The sequence below is a fragment of the Homo sapiens genome, chromosome 9 (assembly GCF_000001405.40).
Source record: "Homo sapiens chromosome 9, GRCh38.p14 Primary Assembly".
NCBI classification, from domain to species: Eukaryota; Metazoa; Chordata; class Mammalia; order Primates; family Hominidae; genus Homo; species Homo sapiens.
This window is the reverse complement of record NC_000009.12, coordinates 13463283-13482784: the sequence shown is the minus strand read 5'-3', so window position 1 is coordinate 13482784 and position 19502 is coordinate 13463283. Positions and strand designations below refer to the sequence as shown.

The following is a 19502-nucleotide window of genomic DNA, read 5'->3' as shown; positions in this document are numbered from 1 at the left end:
AAACTCGTCATTTATAAAAAATGAAATGATCTCTAACAGAAATTGGTGTCACATTTTCGCCAGTGGCTGCTCTAGATGTGGATGATATCAGTTTATGCTTCAGAGTAAACAGAGGAACAGTTTGCAAATTTGGTTAGTAGACCATTCGATTAGTTGTAATGGAGATGTAATCAAAAACAAAAATTTAGTTATTCCAAGATGCTGAAAAAGAAAGTGATTTCCAAAGAGATGCTAAATAAGGATTTGGTATATAGAGAATAAAAGACCAAGAAGATATAATGAATATTACAGAATTAAAGGCTAGAGAAACTAAGAAATCAACTTCCACACCCCACTCAGTGTCTAAGTCACCACTGTAGCATCCTTATCATGCAGTTATTTCGAGCAGTGATTTGCAAACATTGTTCTGAGGAGACGTAGGGGCTCCTCCAACATGCTCCAGAAGTCCATTAAAGGAAGCAAAAGAGGAGGAAAAGGAGAAGAAGAAAAAGGAAGAAAAGGAGAAGGAGGGCTCCTGCTACACAAATTATGAACTACTACAAAGAAGGAAAAAGGGAAGTTCTTCAACTAGAGCAACTCCATTCTCAGACTTGTTATATGTGGGTAATCTGAAATAATTTTTTTTTAATCTGGACAAAAAAGAGTTCCATTACTTTAAAATAGTTTTAAGAAAACCTGTGGTCTGGATTATGTGTGTTTATTTATTAGGCATTATTTGTTTATGCCTTTATTAAGTTTTGGCATCTGAAACAGAACAGAATTGTATGATGTAACCCATTAAAAGAATAGTGGCCCTTACAGTTAATACCCTTCAATACTGAACCCATAGGTGAGTTTTTTGTTTTGTTTTAATTTTCTTGTTTGTTGGCTTGTATGGCAGCCACATAACTTGTCTTTCTACACCTGCGTGGATTGGTTATTGAATTAAACTGCCTCCTGGGAGGAGGTAAATTTGCATGAAGCAGTTCCTGTTAATTTAGGGCAATGCTTGAGAAAGGCCTCAGTTGTGAACCATCAGCAGAAACACTCCCAGTTGCTTGAGAATGAAGGTCTTAATCCCTAAAGAGGCCATGTAGCAGCACAGCTTTCACTGCACCCCTTGCATCACTTCAGTCATTCATTTCATGTAATAAATTTGTTCCATTTGGGATTAGCTCTTCTATGGTTGTGGTTGGTCTCTTTTCCTGGGGAACCATATAAGAAAAAGAACAGTGAAGTAACTGAGCCTGATCTTCAGCTTTTCTGTCCTCCAGCTGCAGAAGATGAGTCTCTTTACATGCTGCCAAAGAAGAACTCTGGTTTTTGTATTTAGCATTAAATTGGTGATTACTCACCCACAGGCATTTACCATATATTTTTCCAATGCACTGATTGCCAGAGCAACAGCTATCCAATGCTTAGCTCTTAAAACAACTACTTCTCCTTGTCCCTACACACACCTAATTTGTCAAATACCAGTGATGTTGCAGCAGCTAGTGTATTTTCTTTCATAGTATCTCTTCCCAGTTCACCACTGGTGAAAGTATTAAAAGTTCTATTGCTACCATATTCCAGGGGCTATCAATATTGTGCCTATCACCAGTAATGGGAGCCTCACTGCCAACCAGACAGACACAGATCCGGCTCCAAAATTTCATTTTCATCCACTTCTAAGGATCACTCCTGGCACCAACTGTTGGCCATTGAGAGTCCTGGGAAACAGACTCTAAGACAGACATTTGCATGCAAGATGTTTACTAAGGATTGCTCTTGGTAACAACACATGTAAGGAAGTAAGGAAAGCAGGACTGGGCATAGGGACAAGTTGAATCATGATGCAGGTCCAACAGAGACTGGAGTTGATCCCACAGGAATGCCAAAGTGGTGATGGTCTTTCAGAGATGTCGCAAAATGAGGCAATTATAGCCCCGCACAACAAGTCACTGGATGTGTGCTACACTGAGACAGGGAGCGTAACTTTTAAATGCCCCTTTCAGTACACAGCCATGCTTAGGGGATTGCTCAGCTGGGAGCCATTAGCAGTCATCACTCCCAGCAGCTGAGGGAATGAGTGGCTCCAGGCACATTGGGGAAATCTGGGTACTACACAACAACATCTACTATAGCATGCATCTCTTACTTGCATTTTTCTACAAAAATGTCATGAGCGACCTAAATCACTGGTGTTCTCTTCCAGTCAGGAGACAGAGAGATGACAGTATAGTGAGGAACATTGAAAAAAATTCTCCTACTACACTGAGTAACAGGTAAATCTTCCTGGACGTAACTGTGACATTTCAGTCTAAGAGGTATATAAAGTGAGAGACATGTGTGAAAACAAGATTCAAAAATATGCATAAAGAATGTTTATTCCCAAACACTTAAAAGATGATCAGTTAAGGTCAACATAGGTATGAAGTTTCCACCATTAAAATTCATAACCAGTTGTTCATATTACCCTAAGGAAACAATAGAAACTAAAGAATTAGGAATTTCAACCAGTGGAAAAGTTACTAATAGTGAAAATTGAACAACCTAGTAGTTTATTACTTAGTAAATTATGGGATATTCCTTTTTGGAGCTATTTAAAAACTAAGGTATATTCTTATTTTAATGTTTTTAATATGACAATTATAGTAGCTGCCATCTATTGAGTACCTTCTCAATAAACTGAGTAATGTATTACCCTAGGCATTTAAATATATCACTTTATACACCCTTCTGCATTTAGTACATGTAAATCAATTTAATTCCCACACATTCTAGGATATGTGTTATAATACTTCCTCCAGGGGATATAAAGGCACGTAACACAATTAATTAAAAATGAAAAGTTTTGAATGCACAACAAATTAATAACCATTCTCAGCTAATTGTGTGATCACTTGGTTATATCCTGCAGTATTTGAGAGTTACACACTTGTGTGTACATGGCTTGAGGAATGGCATGAAGGACTCAAGTCCCAAGATCTCTGCCTGAAATATTCTCACATTCTGCTAGACCTTTTGGAAAACAAGGGATAATAATATGATTATGACAGGATCTCAAAATTAGTATTGCAGATGATTACTTATCACTAATTAACCTGTAATTTTAAAAAATATATCTTCATGAAAAATGTTATCACATGAAATCTTATTTTCACCTTCGATAACTCTTTGGTTAATGCCTATTGGTGTTATGTAAAATACTTAATAATCTTAAATTTTTCTTTTTCTTTCTTTAGTAAATGCTTCAAACTTTTTTTTTTCTGTTTCCATTTTGCTGCTAGAAATATCCTCCCTATTATCTTTACTAATGAAAATTATTAAAATAACATCCATAAAGTACAAAATTCAAGAATTTACTATAGTTGACACTAGGTAGAGAGAAAGTTTAAATTTCTCCTCCAATATTTAATGAAACACATGTGCACACAAACACACACAAACACAAAGACTTTTCCCTAGTGTCCTGAATGGTATGCTGTAATTATTGAAATAAATCAACCTTCTTGAAAGAGAGATCTAATCATTAACTTCAATGTTCAGAAAAGAATTGCACAATTGTAATTTCAACAACTGTCACTGCCTAACTAAGGCTAATTCACTAAAATTATGTGTAGGAAACAATTGGCAAGCTGCAAAATGAAATACTAAAATCTTCAGGAAACAACTAATAAACACATTGAGAAGATTTATTCTAGTTTTCTGCATAGGGAGACACTTATGCGAAAGTGTCTTATCCAGAAAGACAAAACGGCAGTAAGATCCTTGGTAGGAAAGAAGTGGTAGACAGTAAAAGTTGAAAAACCACAAAACCTAAGCCTAGTGGACATCTATTTTATCTGACTGCCTGAAGCATCTCAGCTTGGAAACCATCCTCTTTCTATCTCAGTCCAAATAGTTCTGGAGGACCTGAAGCTATCCCATGGCTCTAAAAGTGGCCACAAATCCCAAGCCTGGTCAATCACAGTATTCACTTATTCTAGCCAGACCACTGAAAAACTCATTTTGTAACAAATTCCTAACTTTATTTGGACATCTGATTCTAACTATCCCTGAATTTAGGCCAATAAGTCAGTGAACTACAGGCCTCCTGACGAATGAACTACAATTGCTCTATGAACAATCATGTAATAGAATATGTCTGATTTGCCTTCTAGCACTAGAATTGACAAATTTCTATCAAAAAGAGTACTTTCTATGCTTTCTACTACATGCATTTCTCAAACTCTCAGCTACATCTAGAGGCTCCTTTCACAAAGATGATTTGCATACAGGTTGGAATGATATCTACTACGTGACTCTGACTTAAAATGTGCTTGTTCTGAATAAAGAATCTCCTCAGCTTCTTAAGAATTTACCCAGTGTAATTAGATACACCCTGATTCATCTAAATGCTATCCAAAGGCTAAATATCTGTGGCTTTAATTGAAAAAGCTCATTAACTTTAAATACAGCTAAAGTTATTGAGGGGGAAAAACTCTCAGTAGAAATACTCTAATAGATTGTCTAGTAAGACTGAAAAGGAAAGGCTTGTGTATTCTAAACCAATTAATCTTGACATCGTCTACATCATTCCACTTATTTTGGACCTGAGTCTAAGTGCTTTGAAAAGAAAACATATGCAGGCATGCTGGCTGAATCCTATTCATTTGTCAGATATTCAACAGACTTTAAGGCTTTAAACTAAGTCATCTTTCTGGGTAACCAAAAAGCAGATGAGAGGAAATTTCTCTTTACAGATGTTTTCCAGCTAACAAATGAAAAAAGGAATGATACAATTAGTATATTACCTTTTGGAGTTTTAGCCAAGATGGTTGACCAGACGCAGCCAAGAGGAAAATCTGTCACATAGAGACCAGGATGTCAGAAAGACTGGTGCACTGTGAGCAGATCTTCAGAGGGAACGCATTGAGAGTGGACAGAGGGATGACACAGATGCTGGGCTGAAGTAGGAGGAAGATGAGAACCCTGCATGGGGCTAAGCACCAGGACTCATTCCTGGCCCCCACGAACTCCTGGGGAAGGGGTGAGTTGAACAGGCAAGGCATGGCCCACTCTCACCATGGACTGCTGGAATCCTGGCAGCAGGAGACACCACAAACCCCACAGACCCTGAGCTAGCAGGAAAGCTGCCTAGAGAGGTGTAGGCACAGGACTCCAGCCTATGTGGAGCCCAGAGGGTTTGGTGCAAGAATGTCTGCAGTGGAGCACTGTCAGGAACTCCCATCTCATAAGGCTTGCCATGCTGCTCTAGGAGACTTTAGATTTGGGGTGACTCTCAGACCTAGACAGCACAGGGCAGGCTTCTCCATGGGATGGGGCCAGGCTAATCTGAGCACCTCACTATCTGCTGACCTCTCCCAGGGCCCCAGCCTGGCTCCACTCACTTGCAGCACATCCTTGGATGTCCACCAGGGTGCTCCTTGGGACCTTCATCACAGCTGCTTTGCCAGCAGACCACGCCTGACCATCAGAGATCTCCAGCAGAGTGGCCCCCACCAATGTATACCAGCCCGCTTGCATGCTCCACTCACCACAGCCTCCCCCAGGTTGCTTTGCTGGCATGCACTCACCCATGGCTACCCCCTCACTGCTTTGCCAGAATGCACATATGGGCAAGTGTGTGCGGGAACACTGCAGCCCTACTACCACTAATATGCCACACCAGCCAGCATGTATGCACCCTGCCACACTGACATGGCTGCTGGTACATGCAAGACAGCATAGATCCTGCTGCCACCACCCTAATGAAGAGTTTTGGCTGGCACCATCCATTACAGTATTGTGTTCAGCAGACTGGGAACATCTCACTCCCTCCAGTGCAGCAAGTTCCTAACCTTAAGGGACCAGAGAACAAAGTCAGAGGATGGTACCAGCCCCCCACCAGAGATAGAGCATACAGTCCAGGAGTGCTAAGCTGAGGCTTGGCCCTCCAAAGTCTTTCAGAAACAAAGCCATTCGACTGAATTCACTTTATGCCACAATCAAACACCCAAGGGCATTAACGAAGATAAAAGCAAAAAAACAGGCTGGGTGTGGTGGCTCACGCCTGTAATCCCAGCACTTTGGGAGGCCGAGGCGGGTGGATCCTGAGGTCAGGAGATCTAGAGCATCCTGGCTAACATGGTGAAACCTCATCTCTACTAAAAATACAAAAAATTAGCTGGGCGTGGTGACAGGCACCTGTAGTCCCAACTACTAGGGAGGCTGAGGCAGGAGAATGGCATGAACCTGGGAGGTGGAGCTTGCAGTGAAGCAAGATTGCACCACTGCACTCTAGCCTGGGCAACAGAGTGAGACTCCTTCAAAAAAAAAAAAAAAAAGCAAAACAACAACAACAACAAAAAACCATCCAAAATAAAGCAACTTCAAAGACTGAAGGAACATCAGCCCACATACTTGAGAAAGAACCAGTGCAAGAATTCTGGCAACTCAAAAATCCAGAGTGTTTTCTTACCTCCAAAGGACCACACTAGTTTCCCAGCAATGATTCATAACCAGTCTGAAATGGATGAAATGACAGCAATAGAATTCAGAATATTGACAGGAATGAAGATCATTGAGATTCAGAAAAAAAGTCAAAACCCAATCCAAGGAATCTAAGGAATACAATAAAAGGATACAGGAGATGAAAGATGACATGGCCATTTTAAGAAAGAACCAAACTGATCCGATAGAGCTGAAAAACTCACTTCAAGAATTGCAGAATACAATTGCAAGTATTAAAAGCAGAATCAACCAACCTGAGGAAAATCTCATAGCTCAAAGACTGGTTTTCCAAAATAACTCAGTGAGACAAAAATAAAGAAAAACAAATAAAGAAGAATGAAAAAAGACTCCAAGAAATATGGGATCATATAAAGAAACCAAATCTATGACTCATTGGCATCTCTGAAAGAGAGGGAGAAAAAGCAAGCAAATTGGAAAACATATTTGAGTGTATCTTCTATGAAAAGTTCCCCAACCTCACTAGAGAGGCCAACATTCAAATTCAAGAAATGCAGAGGACCCCTGTGAGAAACTATACAAGATGACCATCCCCAAGACACAGAGTCATCAGATTCTCCAAGGTTAAGATGAAAGAAAACATATTAAAGGCAGCTAGAGAGAATGGGCAGATCACTTACAAAGGGAACCCAAACAGGCTAAAAACAGAACTTTCAGCAGAAACCCTACAAATCAGAAGAGATTTGGGGCCCATATTCAGCATTCTGAAAGAAAAGAAATTCCAACCAAGAATTTTATATCCAGCCAAACTAAACTTCAATAGCAAAGGAGAAATAAGATTCTTTTCAGACAAGCAAATGCTAAGGGAATCCATTACCACAAGACCTGCCTTACAAGAGGTCCTTGAGAAAGTGCTAAACATGGAAAGTAAAATCCATTAACAGCCACCACAAAAACACACTTAGGCACATAGACCACTGACTAGTGGAATCACATGACCAAATCTGCATAATAGCCAGCTAGCAACATGATGATAGAATCAAATTCACACATATCAGTATTAACCTTCTATGTAAATGGGCTAAATGCCCCACTTAAAAGGCACAGAAGGGCAAGTTTGTATAAAGGAGCAAGACTCAACTGTATGCTGTCTTCAAGAGACCCCTATCACATGCAATGACACAAATAGACTCAAAGTAAAGGGATGGAGAAAAATCTACCAAGCAAACAGAAAGCAGAAAAAAGCAAGAGTTGCTATTCCAATTTCAAACAAAACAGACTTCAAACTAACAATGATCAAAAAAGAAAATAAGTACATAACATAATGGTAAAGAGTTTGATTCAACAGAAAGACTTAACTATCCTAAATAGATTTGCATCCAACACTGGAGCACCCAAATTTATAAGGCAAGTTCTTAGAGATCTACAAAGAGACTTAGATAACCACACAATAACAATAGTGGGAGACTTCAACAATCTACTGACAGTATTAGACAGATTATCAAGGCAGAAAACTAACAACGATATTCAGGACCTGAGCTCAACACTTGACCAAATGAATCTAAGAGACAGAGGAGCTCTCCACCCCAAAAGAACTCTCCACCCCAAAACCACAGAATTTACATTGTTATTATTTATACATGGCACATACTCCAAAATAGGCTACCTATTTGGCCATAAAACAATCTTCAGCAAATTCAGGGAAACCAAAATCACACCAACCATGTCCTCAGACCAGCGCATAATAAAACAGAAATTAATACTAAGAAAATTGCTCAAAACTATATAATTACATGGAAATTAAATAATGTGATACTGAATAATTTTTGGGCAAACAATGAAATTAAGGCAGAAATTGAGAAATTATTTGAAACTAATGAAAACAAAGATGCAATATACCAGAGTCTCTGGGACACAGCTAAAGTAGTGTTAAGAGAGAAGTTTATAGCACTAAATACCCACATCAAAAACTTAGAAAGCTCTCAAATTAGCAACCTAGCCTCACACCTAGAGGAACTAGAGAAAAAAGAGCAAATCCACCCCAAAGCTAGTAGAAGACAAAAAATAACCCAAATCAAAGCAGAATTGAATGAAAGTGAGGTGTGGAAAATCATACAAAATATCAATGAATCAGAAGTTTGTTACTTGAAACAATAAAAAACATTGACAGACAACTTGCTAGACTAATAAAGAAAGAAAGAAGATCCAAATAAATACAATCAGAAATGACAAAAAAGACATTAACACCTGCCCTACAGAAATACAAAAAATCATCAGAAACTACAACGAACACTTCTGCATACAAATTGGAAAACCTAGAAGAAATTGATAAATTTTTGGAAACATACAACCTCCCAAAATTGAACCAAGAAGAAATTGAATCCCAGAATAGATTGAAAACAAGTTCCAAAATTGAAACAGTAATAGAGTCTTTCAACCAGAAAAAGCCCAGGACCAGATGGATTCACAGCCAAATTCTACCAGATGTACAAAGAAGAGCTGGGACCATTCCTACAGAAACTATTCCAAAAAATTGAGGAGAAGGGACTCCCCCTGACTCATTCTATGAGGCCAGCATCATTCTGATACCAAAGCCTGACAGAGGCATAATAAAAAGAGAAAACTTCAGGTCAATATCCTTGATGAGTATAGATGCAAAGATCCTCAACAAAATACTAGCAAACTGAATCCAGCAGCATGTCAAAAAGCTAATCTACTGCAACCAAGCGGGCTTTGTCTCTTATGCAAGTTTGATTCAACATACACAAATCAATAATTTATTTCATCACATAAACAAAACTAAAGACAAAAGCCACATGATTGTCTCAATAGATGTAGAAAGGTGTTTTGATAAAACTCAATATCCCTTCATGGTAAAACCCTTCAACAAACTAGAAACATACATCAAAATAATAAGAGCCATCTATGACAAACCCAGAGCCAACATCATATTGATCAGGCAATAACTGGAAACATCCTCCCTGAGAATCAGAACAGGGCAAGGAAGCTCTCACTACTTCTGTTCAACATAATACTGGAAGTCCTAGCCAGACCAATCAGACAAGAGAAAGAAATAAAAGGCATACAACCAGGAAGGATAAAGTCAAACTATCTCTCTTCACAAATTATATAATTATATACCTAGAAAATCCTGTGGTCTCTGCCCAAAAGCTCCTAGATCTGATAAACAACTTCAGCAAAATGTCAGGATACAAAAATTAATGTATAAAAATCAGTCACATTTCTGTAGACCAACAATGTCCACACTCAGAGCCAAATCAAGAATGCAATCCCATTTACAATAGCCACAAAAAGAATACAATACCTGCAAAAACAGCTAACCATGGAGGTGAAAGAGCTCTACAACAAGAATTATAGAACACTGCTCAAAGAAATCAGAGATGACACAAACAAATGGAAAAACATTTTTTGCCTATGGGTAAAAAAGAATCAATATTGTTAAAATGGCCACACTCCCCAAAGCAATGCTATTCCAATCAAACTACCAATTGCACTCTTCAAAGAATTAGAAAAACTGTTTTAAAATTCGTATGGAACCAAAAAAGAGCCTGAATAGCCAAGGCATTCCTAAGCAAAAAGAACAAAGCTGGAGGCACTGCACTACCTGACTTCAAACTATACTACAAAATGACAGTAACTAAAACACCCTGGTAGTGGTACAAAACCAGATACACAGAACAATAGAACAGAATAGAGAACACAGAAATAATAGCACACACTTATAACCATCTGATATTGAACAAAGTCAACAAAAACAATTCATGGGGACAGGACTCCCTATTCAATAAATAATACTGGGATAACTGGCTAGCCTTATGCAGAAAATTGAAACTGGACCCCTTCCTTCCACCATATACAAAAATCTACTCAAGATAGATTAAAGACTTAAATAAAAGACCCAAAACTATAAAAAACCCTGGAAGATAACCTAGGAAATATCATTCTGGACATACACTCTGGCAAAGATTTCATGATGAAGTCACCAAAAGTAATTGCAACAAAAACAAAAATTGACAAAAGGGACCTAATTAAACTAAAGAGCTTCTGCAGAGCAAAAGAAACTATCCATAGAGTAAACAGACAGCCTACAGAATGGGAGAAAATATTTGCAAACTATGCATCTGATAAAAGTCTAATATCTAGAATCTGTAAGTTACTTAAATTAACAAGCAAGAAACAACCCCATTAAAAAGTGGTAAAAGGAAATGAACAGTTTTCAAAAGAATATAGACACACAGCCAATAAACATATGAACAAATGCTTAACATCATTAATCATTAGAGAAATGCAAATCAAAACCACAATGAGATACCATCTCACACCTAGTCAGGTTGGCTATTATTAAAAGTCACAAAATAACAGATGCTGGCAAGGTTGCAGAGAAAAGGGAGCACTTACACACTGCTGATGGGAATGTAAATTAGTTCAGCCATCGTGGAAAGCAGTTTGGCAATTTCTCGAAGAACTTAAAACAGAACTACCATTCAACCCAGCAATCCCATTATTGGTATATACCCAAAGGAAGATATATCATTCTACCATAAACATACATGGACATATATGTTCATTGTAGCACTATTCACAATAGCAAAGACATGGAATCAACCTAAATGCCCTTCAATGGTAGACTGGATGAAGAAAATGTGGTACACATATAACATGGATTACTATGCAGCCATAAAAAGAAATGAGATTATGTGATTGGCAGGAACATGGATGGAGCTGTAGGCCATTATCCTAAGTGAGCTAATGTAGGAATATAAAACCAAATACTGCATGTTCTCATTTATAAGTCGGAGGTAAACAGTAAGTACACATGGACACAAAGAAGAGAACAAGTGACACCAGGGCCTACTTAAGAGTGAAGGGTGGGAGGACAGTGAGGTGACTTAAAAAACTACCTATCAGGTACTATTTTCATTACCTTGGTGACAAAATAATCAGTACACCAAATCCCCGTGACACACAATTTACCTATATAACAAAACTGCACATGTACACCTGAATCTAATATAAAGATTTTTTTTAAGTTAAAAAAAGAGTGCAACTTTTTACAACTCCTAATCAACAGCTCCTTGTATCACTAATAATTTGAAGTAACCACTCAACACCACTATAGTAGTCTTACTCCAAAATGTGAACCTTAATCTGATCAAGCCTCTAGATTAACCCCAACACCATCCACATTTGGGGCCACGTAATTCTTTGTTGTGCAAGGTATTCCCACAACATTCTCATGTATTCTCAAATGTCTAGCAGCATCTCTAGTTTCTACCTGCTAGACGCTATTTTCATCCCTGTGTTGTGAAAATGAAAATGTCTCCAGTCATTGCCAAATTTCCCATGGGAGGATGGGTAGGGGAGGGAGGAGTAAAATCACCCCATGTTAAAGCTCACTGCTCTGGATTCAAATCCAAGTTACGATAAATACCTAAGTCTCATGCTAAATGACAGCATGGGGTTGCAATCAACAATTTCCACACAGTAAGGAATTTCTAATGGACAAACAGTTTTTCTGGTTGCTTGCAAGGAAAAAAGAAAACAGATATGAAAGGGAAACCCATAAATTAAAAGTGATCTGAGAGATATATGAACTAATCACCATATGTGAACCTTGTTTGGATCTTCATTGAAACAGACTATAAAATCAGTAATACATAAATAATTGGAACACTCACGGAATATTTGATCATTTGAAAGAATCATTGCTAATTTTTAGGTGTTACGATGCTGTCATTATGTTTTTTCTTTAAAGCTCTTATCTTTTGGAGCTACATATAGAAATTTTTCACAGATCAAATGAGATGTCTAGGATTTTCTTCAAAATAACGCAGAAGTAGGGGTAAATGAGTGGAAGAACAAAAGACACAGATTGGCTATGAGTAGGTAATATTAAAAGCTGGATAATCACCTGAGGGATTATTATACAATTCTGCTTATGTTTGTGCAAGTTTTAAAAAATTTCATGATAAAAATTACAAATAAGGCAAATTATTTCTAGAAAAGGAGGTTTCTTTGTAGAAAGGACTGTAAAGAACATCTGTACAAAGGAAAGTCTTCAAGAAAACAACGTAAAGTATTCATAGCCAATGAGGGGAAAAAAACAGCTCAAAAGCTTTTTTAAAGATCCTTAAGACCTGCATTTGGACGAATTCCCTCACTATAGCATAATGACCGATTTTGATAAGAAGGACATGTGCAAACATATCAAATATTACAAACTAGTGTAATCAAATAGCCATTAGCACCAACTGCATTTTAACTTCCTCACAATGGGGTTGTGTTAAGACTGCTATCTAAATAATTCAGCTAAACATTTTTGCTAACCAAGATTCCATCTCTCCTGCCCAAATTCACAAAACAAATTTTTAAATTTTCTTATTTTCTCCTTTGTGTAAATTTACACTTTGGCACTTCCACTGCTACTGCAGTCAATCAGCATCATCTGAATTGCTGTGTTAGGATCTTCATTATTCTCGCCTGCAGACTGTTCCCTCACCAATTCTTCATGCATGCAAAGTCATCTTTATAAAGCACAGACATTATTGTATCGCCTTTTTATTTAAACATCTCAATATCTTCCAAATTCATCTACATTAATTCTAAAATCCCCAGCCTGGCAGTCTGTGGAGACTAAAGCAACCCCACGTTGGATGCTCATCTGCCATGTTGGCTTCTGATGAACCCCAGTTCAGAAAATGCCTCTAAGATTTCTATTCTGTCTACTGTTCCTTGATTCCTTGTGTAAGGGCATGTATTTACTGTAAATTCTGCCCTTAGGTCCAAATACACTTGACTACAAATCCTGCCTTTAGGCAGATTCACACAGCATCCTTCCCTTTCCCTATGATTGTCCTACAGATTCCTTCCCTATGGTATATAAGCCCTAGATCTGGATGGTAATGGCATGGGGATCTTCTATCTTGTCTTGCCACTGCCAGCAACACAGACATGACTTCTGTTGCTAAGTTCCTATTCAATGTTTCTTTCTGAGAAATTGAATTTGTCAGCCTCTTTCTTTGGCCTCTCAGCTTCCTTGGGCTTTTTGGGTTAGGTTTGCATAGAACTATTCAACACATTCACAACTCTCTATGATCTAGATGTTGGCTATTTCTAATCGTCACTCACTGTATCTAATCTGAACCCCTCACAACACACTCACACATAAACTATGTTCCTTTCCTTAAATTCACTCTGCAGTTTCTTCTCTGCTTACCTCTATTTATTCTATGCCTATATCGCCCATCTGTACCACTCTTATCTTTTGCATTTGTACATACACTGCAAAGCCTGAGCAATTACCAATTACTCTACAAATCATTGCTTTTTTTTTTTCTGCCAGTTGGGATTAATCTCTCTTCCAGATTCCCTTTCCTTTGTACTTCTTCATCTAGTAGGAAACGCTTCAGTCAATTTGGATTTAAGTATATCTGTCCATTTTCACCACTTTACTGAGATTTCCAAGAAGACAGAAACCATATTTTATCTAATCGTAATGGCTGGTTGCAATATAGGCTGCACAAAATGTTGGCTGAATTAAGTACGGTGATTTTCTTAACCTCATAAAATAACTAACGCTATTCCTCCCAGTAAAAATACATGCAAAAGATCACAGAATTCAGAATTGTCATTTTGAAATAAACAGTGAAGCAGAAATCCCTGTGAGATGTTTCAATCACCAGAAGAAGGAGGAAGCATACATGATAAGTGAGAGGGTCCAGATGAGGTTTGGTTTCTAAACCCTACCATCCCTATCTCTCAAAAAACCTCACCTACAAACAACAAGAAAATTGCAACTAAAACACTTTCTTATTAACTGCTGGATAAGCACTGATACTCCTTGTCTTAACTCAGTTTTTCTAGGAAATAGAAACTAAAGCAAAGGTTAAGTGCTAATATTTTATTAAGAATTAAAATATTTGGATCAGGGCAGCCAAAGTGAGGAAAAAGAGAGTGAGGCAGAGAAGCATGAAAAGTATACACAAGATGGCCCTGTTCCACGTAGGGATACAGCTGGTATCCCAACTATATTGGACATCTCTGGATAGGCTACTGAGCTTTGGAACCATATGCTTACAGCAGGACTGGACAGGGAATTTTTCTGTGAGGGTTTATTTATGGACTTCCAATTCTATCCCATTGATTTGTATGTTTTTCCTTATGCCAGTACCAAACAGTCAAGATTAATGTAGATTTGTAGTAAGTTTTGAAATTGACAAATATGAGTCTTTTGACTTTATTCTCTTTCAAGATTGTTTTTACTATTCTGGATTTCTTCCACATCTACATGAAGTTTAGAATCAGTTTGCCAATTTCTGCAAAGAAGACACCAAGCATTTTGATAGAGATTGCATTGAATCTGTAGCCCAATTTGGGGAGTATTGTCACCTTAACAATTTAAGTATTCCAATTAATGAACATAGGAAGTCTTTTCATTTATTTAGGTCTTCTTAAATGTTTTTAGGAAGAAGGTTTTATGGTTTTCTAAGTATAAGTTTTGTGCTTCTGTTATATTTATACCTAAATCCAAACTATTTTTATTCAAAACAAACCTACTAACATTTAGTTTTTAGTTTTTTGTTCCCCCTCACAGTCTAATCTCTTCATGTTAGCATAGGAATTTGCAAAGCAATTGAACTAGTAGTAACATATTTTTTCCTTGCCAAAACCCAGGAAGGCTCCTCTTCAGATCTGGTGTGGAGAGAAAAGCCTGAGCTTTTATGTTTAATTTCCTATTTTTCCCCCAGTCTTAAGTACATGACATGGGTTATTTATTTAATTTCAGAGCCTTGGTTTTCTTAATAGCAAAATAATAATAGCTAACATAATGTAGTCCTTACTTTCTGGGCACTGTTCTAACTGCTTTGTACGTAGTACACAGTAACTAGTTTAATCCATGCAGCAACTCAATGAAGTAGGTTCTCTAATTTATTTTCATTTCATAGATGAGGAATTCGACACTCCAACTGGCAAAGTGATTTGTGTAATCACATGGTAAATGCTAGAACCATAAATCAGATTAAGGCTGTTTAGCCTCTGAGGTCATGCTGTTCACAAGAGTGTATTAATTCCTTCCTCATAGGTGTTAAGGAAAATTAAATGAGAAAAAAATGCATAATGGTCCTGACAAAAGGTAGACATTGTGTAAAAGTTGTTTTTTACTAGATAAAAATTTCCCCTATTTTGATGGAAGGCTATTGATCTTTTCACTTAATAAAAATGCTTTACCTAAGTAAGTAATGTCTTAATAAACACAGAGGAAGGAGGATTAACCATGAAACTAATAAACCTTAGGCTTTAAGTTCATTCATCTACACGACCCACTTCCAAGTCCGTGTACCTAATTTATAAACTTGTAATCTTTTTAAAGAAGCTCTGTCAAATTGTATAAGTTTTAGATTCCACAAAAGCTGAATCTGTCCCTGAAAGTGTATTAAAAGGAGGATTAAAAGATAACCCAAAGATTTCTAGTTTGGAAGAATGAAGTGGGAGTGTCACCTATAACTGAAGCAAAAGAAAAAAAGGAAGAGGAAGAGATTTGGGAAAAGAAGAAATTTTATTTTATATGTCTTCAGTTATGAATATGAGAGGAACAATGAGTTAGAGATGTCCTATAGGACAGGCACTAGAACAAAAATCCCAGTCCAAAATGTCAGTAGTGTTGTGATTGGCAAACCCATATTAGATTGGATCAAGGAAGAGACTGAAGAAAACATCATTGAGAAAAGGATGAGAACCAGGATTTCTGCAAGGAGAGAGAGTTGAACTGCATTCTAAAAGTATTATGCAGAAACACAAGAAGTACAAATTGGATAGCATTATTTCCAGTGTTTGGGGGCATATTAAAAAGGCCATCATACTGTCTTGCCAGTGGTGTCCACCATCTTTACTCTGCAACTGCCTTGTCAGGGTGATGATTCTCAGATGAAGTAACACAAGTTAATTATGTCCAGGATAATAGAGTTGTGAATAGCATGCAGATGCTCAACATCTGCTAATTCCGAATTGAATAACTCTTCAAGTTAATGCCTTTTCGTAAGCCCTGGAAGAGTTGCTAACATATAGACTCCCAAATGTCTATTCCGCAAATTTTGTTTTACATCTAGTGTTAGGGTGTGTCCAGATTGGTATGATTCCATGACACTTACGGTTTAAATTAGTTGCTTTAGAGAGAAATTGAAAATAAATTATTGCATTGACAATTTTCAGAGATAACAGCAGTGACTATCCATGAGAGTATTGTGAATGGGTAGGCTGTGGGGAAAGGCACTTTATACCCCCCCCCCCCACACACACACAGAGAAAACCTACATCTAAATAGTCCTTTTTCACTATTCCTGATTAGTTCCTTTAATATTCCTCCTGTGGTGTGCATTAAGCTCAAGAATGCGTGTGTAGGGCAAGAGAGGGGTAGGGGTGTGAGATAGGGAAGGAATCCTGACACATTCTTTCTGTACATAATCTTAAGTCATGATCACACTCTTCACAACTCTCTTCTCTTCTCTACAATTGCTCCGATTGGTTTGTTAGCATCTTGCCCTCCATATTTGACTAATACTATTGTCTTTCTTCTAACTATAGTCTTGGATCTTCTCAATTATATCTCTGATCCCCACTGTATGGAGCTATCTTGTTGTTCTTATTTGTTTCATTTTTTTGTTTGTTTTCTACAGTTGTCTTGTTTTCTGCCTAGGATCCATTACTCTTCTCCTTCTTCTGGTAACACCACCTTGATTTTCTTTTAGGAAGTTACCTACTCAATCTGTATGGGTTGGGTAGCAGCCCATTCTTCATACTCCAGAGCTAGATCTTGGACCTGGGCCTGGACAGTTTGTGTATTACATTACCCTCGCCATAGTGATTGGCCCACAGGTAGCCTTACAGCCCAGGTTAATCCAGAAAGATTTAATCCCGGGACATTTTCTAAATTTCTAGGATGCTTTATTTATTTCTGCCAGATTTGTTCACCTGTGAGGATTTCAGTTTGATATGCCGGCAATCATTTATCTCAAAAGGGCCTGCTTGGAAATGAGACTGATAAAGCAGAGCATATCTACAGGATGGAAGGCGAGAAGAAGGAGGAAGAGAAAGGCGAAGTAACACAGAGAAAAAGACAAAGAATGATAGAGGAAGAGAATGACAGAATTCCAACAAATCATTTGTGCTTTAAGATTCAGGTGGACCTGAAGATCCATTTTCAGACTTTTTATTTGTTAAACAAATGGTTGAATTTTTACTAACTACATACAAAATCAACTTGACTAATGCCTTTACTTGTTAAATAGATAATTCTTAGAAGCACTGGGAATAAACAGTGAAAAGGATGGAAGCAGTTCTCATAGTCTAGTTAGGAAGGTAAATTTCAAACAAGAGATCACAAGAGTACTAAGTGTTAAGGAAAACATACGGGGTGTTCTGGACACACAAAGCATGGGGACTAATCTGGTCAAAAGAGTTAGGGAAATAGTCTTCCAAGGGAAACCCCAATAATGCAGATTCATGCAATTGTCTTAGTTTGTATACTCGTTATCTAGTGCCATAAACAACAGCTTAGGATCTGAAAACAGTGGATTTTTTTTTTCATGGTTATTGGGGGTCAGGAATCCAGGAGTAGCTTATCAGAGTGATTCTGGCTCAGGGTCTCTCATGAGTCTGCAATCAAGGTGTTGGCTGAGGTGTGGTCATCTCAAGGCTCCAGTGGGAAAGGATCCACTTCTAAGCAGCCTCATGAGGTTGGCTTCTAAGTTCACTTATCTGAGCTTCTCCACAGAGCTACCTCACAGCATAGCAGCTGCCTTCTCTCAGGGTGAACAATTCCAAAGATCATGACAGGGACTGAAGCTACTGTCTTTTTATAACCTAAGTTTAGAAGTGACACATCTTTACTTCTGCCATATTCTGTTCACTGGACACAAATCACCAAGTCACGTTTATATTCAAGGGGAAGGGATTATACTAGAACATGCATACCAAGAAGTGGGGATCACTGGAGGCCGTCTTAGAGGTTGCCTCCCACAGTTAGTGTTATCCTAAAAGCAGATCTTAAGACAAGGATTTAGGTGAAAGCAGTTTATTGGAAAACTGATCCCAAGAAGTACTGTGAGGAAGCTGGGAGCAAGACAGGAAATGGAGGACAACCAACACATGGTCTTTAATGAGTGGATTACAGCTCTGGGCCACTGGGTTCCATCCTGCTGGGGTCCCTGTGAGAGACTGTATGAAACACTGCTCAGAATTGTCCCACCGGCCAGGCGTGGTGGCTCATGCCTGTAATCCCAGTACTTTGGGAGGCCGAGGCAGGTGGATCACAAGGTCAGGAGATTGAGACCATCTTGGCCAACATGGTGAAACCCCTTCTCTACTAAAATACAAAAAATTAGCCAGGCGTGGTAGCGCTTGCCTGTAATCCCAGCTGCTTGGGAGGCTGAGGCAGGGAAATCGCTTGAACCAGGAGGCAGAGGTTGCAGTAAGCTGAGATCGCGCCACTGCACTCCAGCCTGGCGATAGAGCAAGACTCTGTCTCATAAAAAAAAAAAAAAAAAAGAATTGTCCCACCAAGCACCAAGGAGTTAAGAAAGCTGGAGTATTTATTCACCATCTCCTGTCCCATGTATCTTTAGGATTACCTGGAGTTGTCTGCAAGGATTAGGGGAAACACCAGCAATGTCTGCTCTAGTTGCCTTAAGGACTACTCCTGTCTATTATTATTATTATTTATTTTTATTTATTTATTTTTTTTTTTTTGAGACAGAGTCTCATTCTGTCTGCCAGGCTGGAGTGCGGTGGCATGATCTCGGCTCACTGCAACCTCTGTCTCCCAGGCTCAAGCAATTATCCTGCCTCAGCCTCCCAAGAAGCTGGGATTACAGGCATGTGCCATCACACCTGGCTAATTTTTGTGTTTTTGTAGAGACGGGGTTTCCCCATGTTGGCCAGGCTTGTCTCGAACTCCTGACCTCAGGTAATCGACCCACCTTAGCCTCCCAAATTGCTGGGATTACAGGCGTGAGCCACCACACCCAGCCTACTCCTGTCTATTTAACCTAGCTCCTGGGACTTTCTTCCCT

At 38.4% G+C, this 19502-nt stretch overlaps 1 long non-coding RNA gene across 1 annotated transcript in view; it reads right to left on the bottom strand.

The window, feature by feature from the left end:
* LOC105375977 (uncharacterized) overlaps positions 1–19502 on the bottom strand; it is a 46773-nt gene that overhangs the window by 4723 nt on the left and 22548 nt on the right. The gene's annotated exons all lie outside the window — the stretch shown is intronic.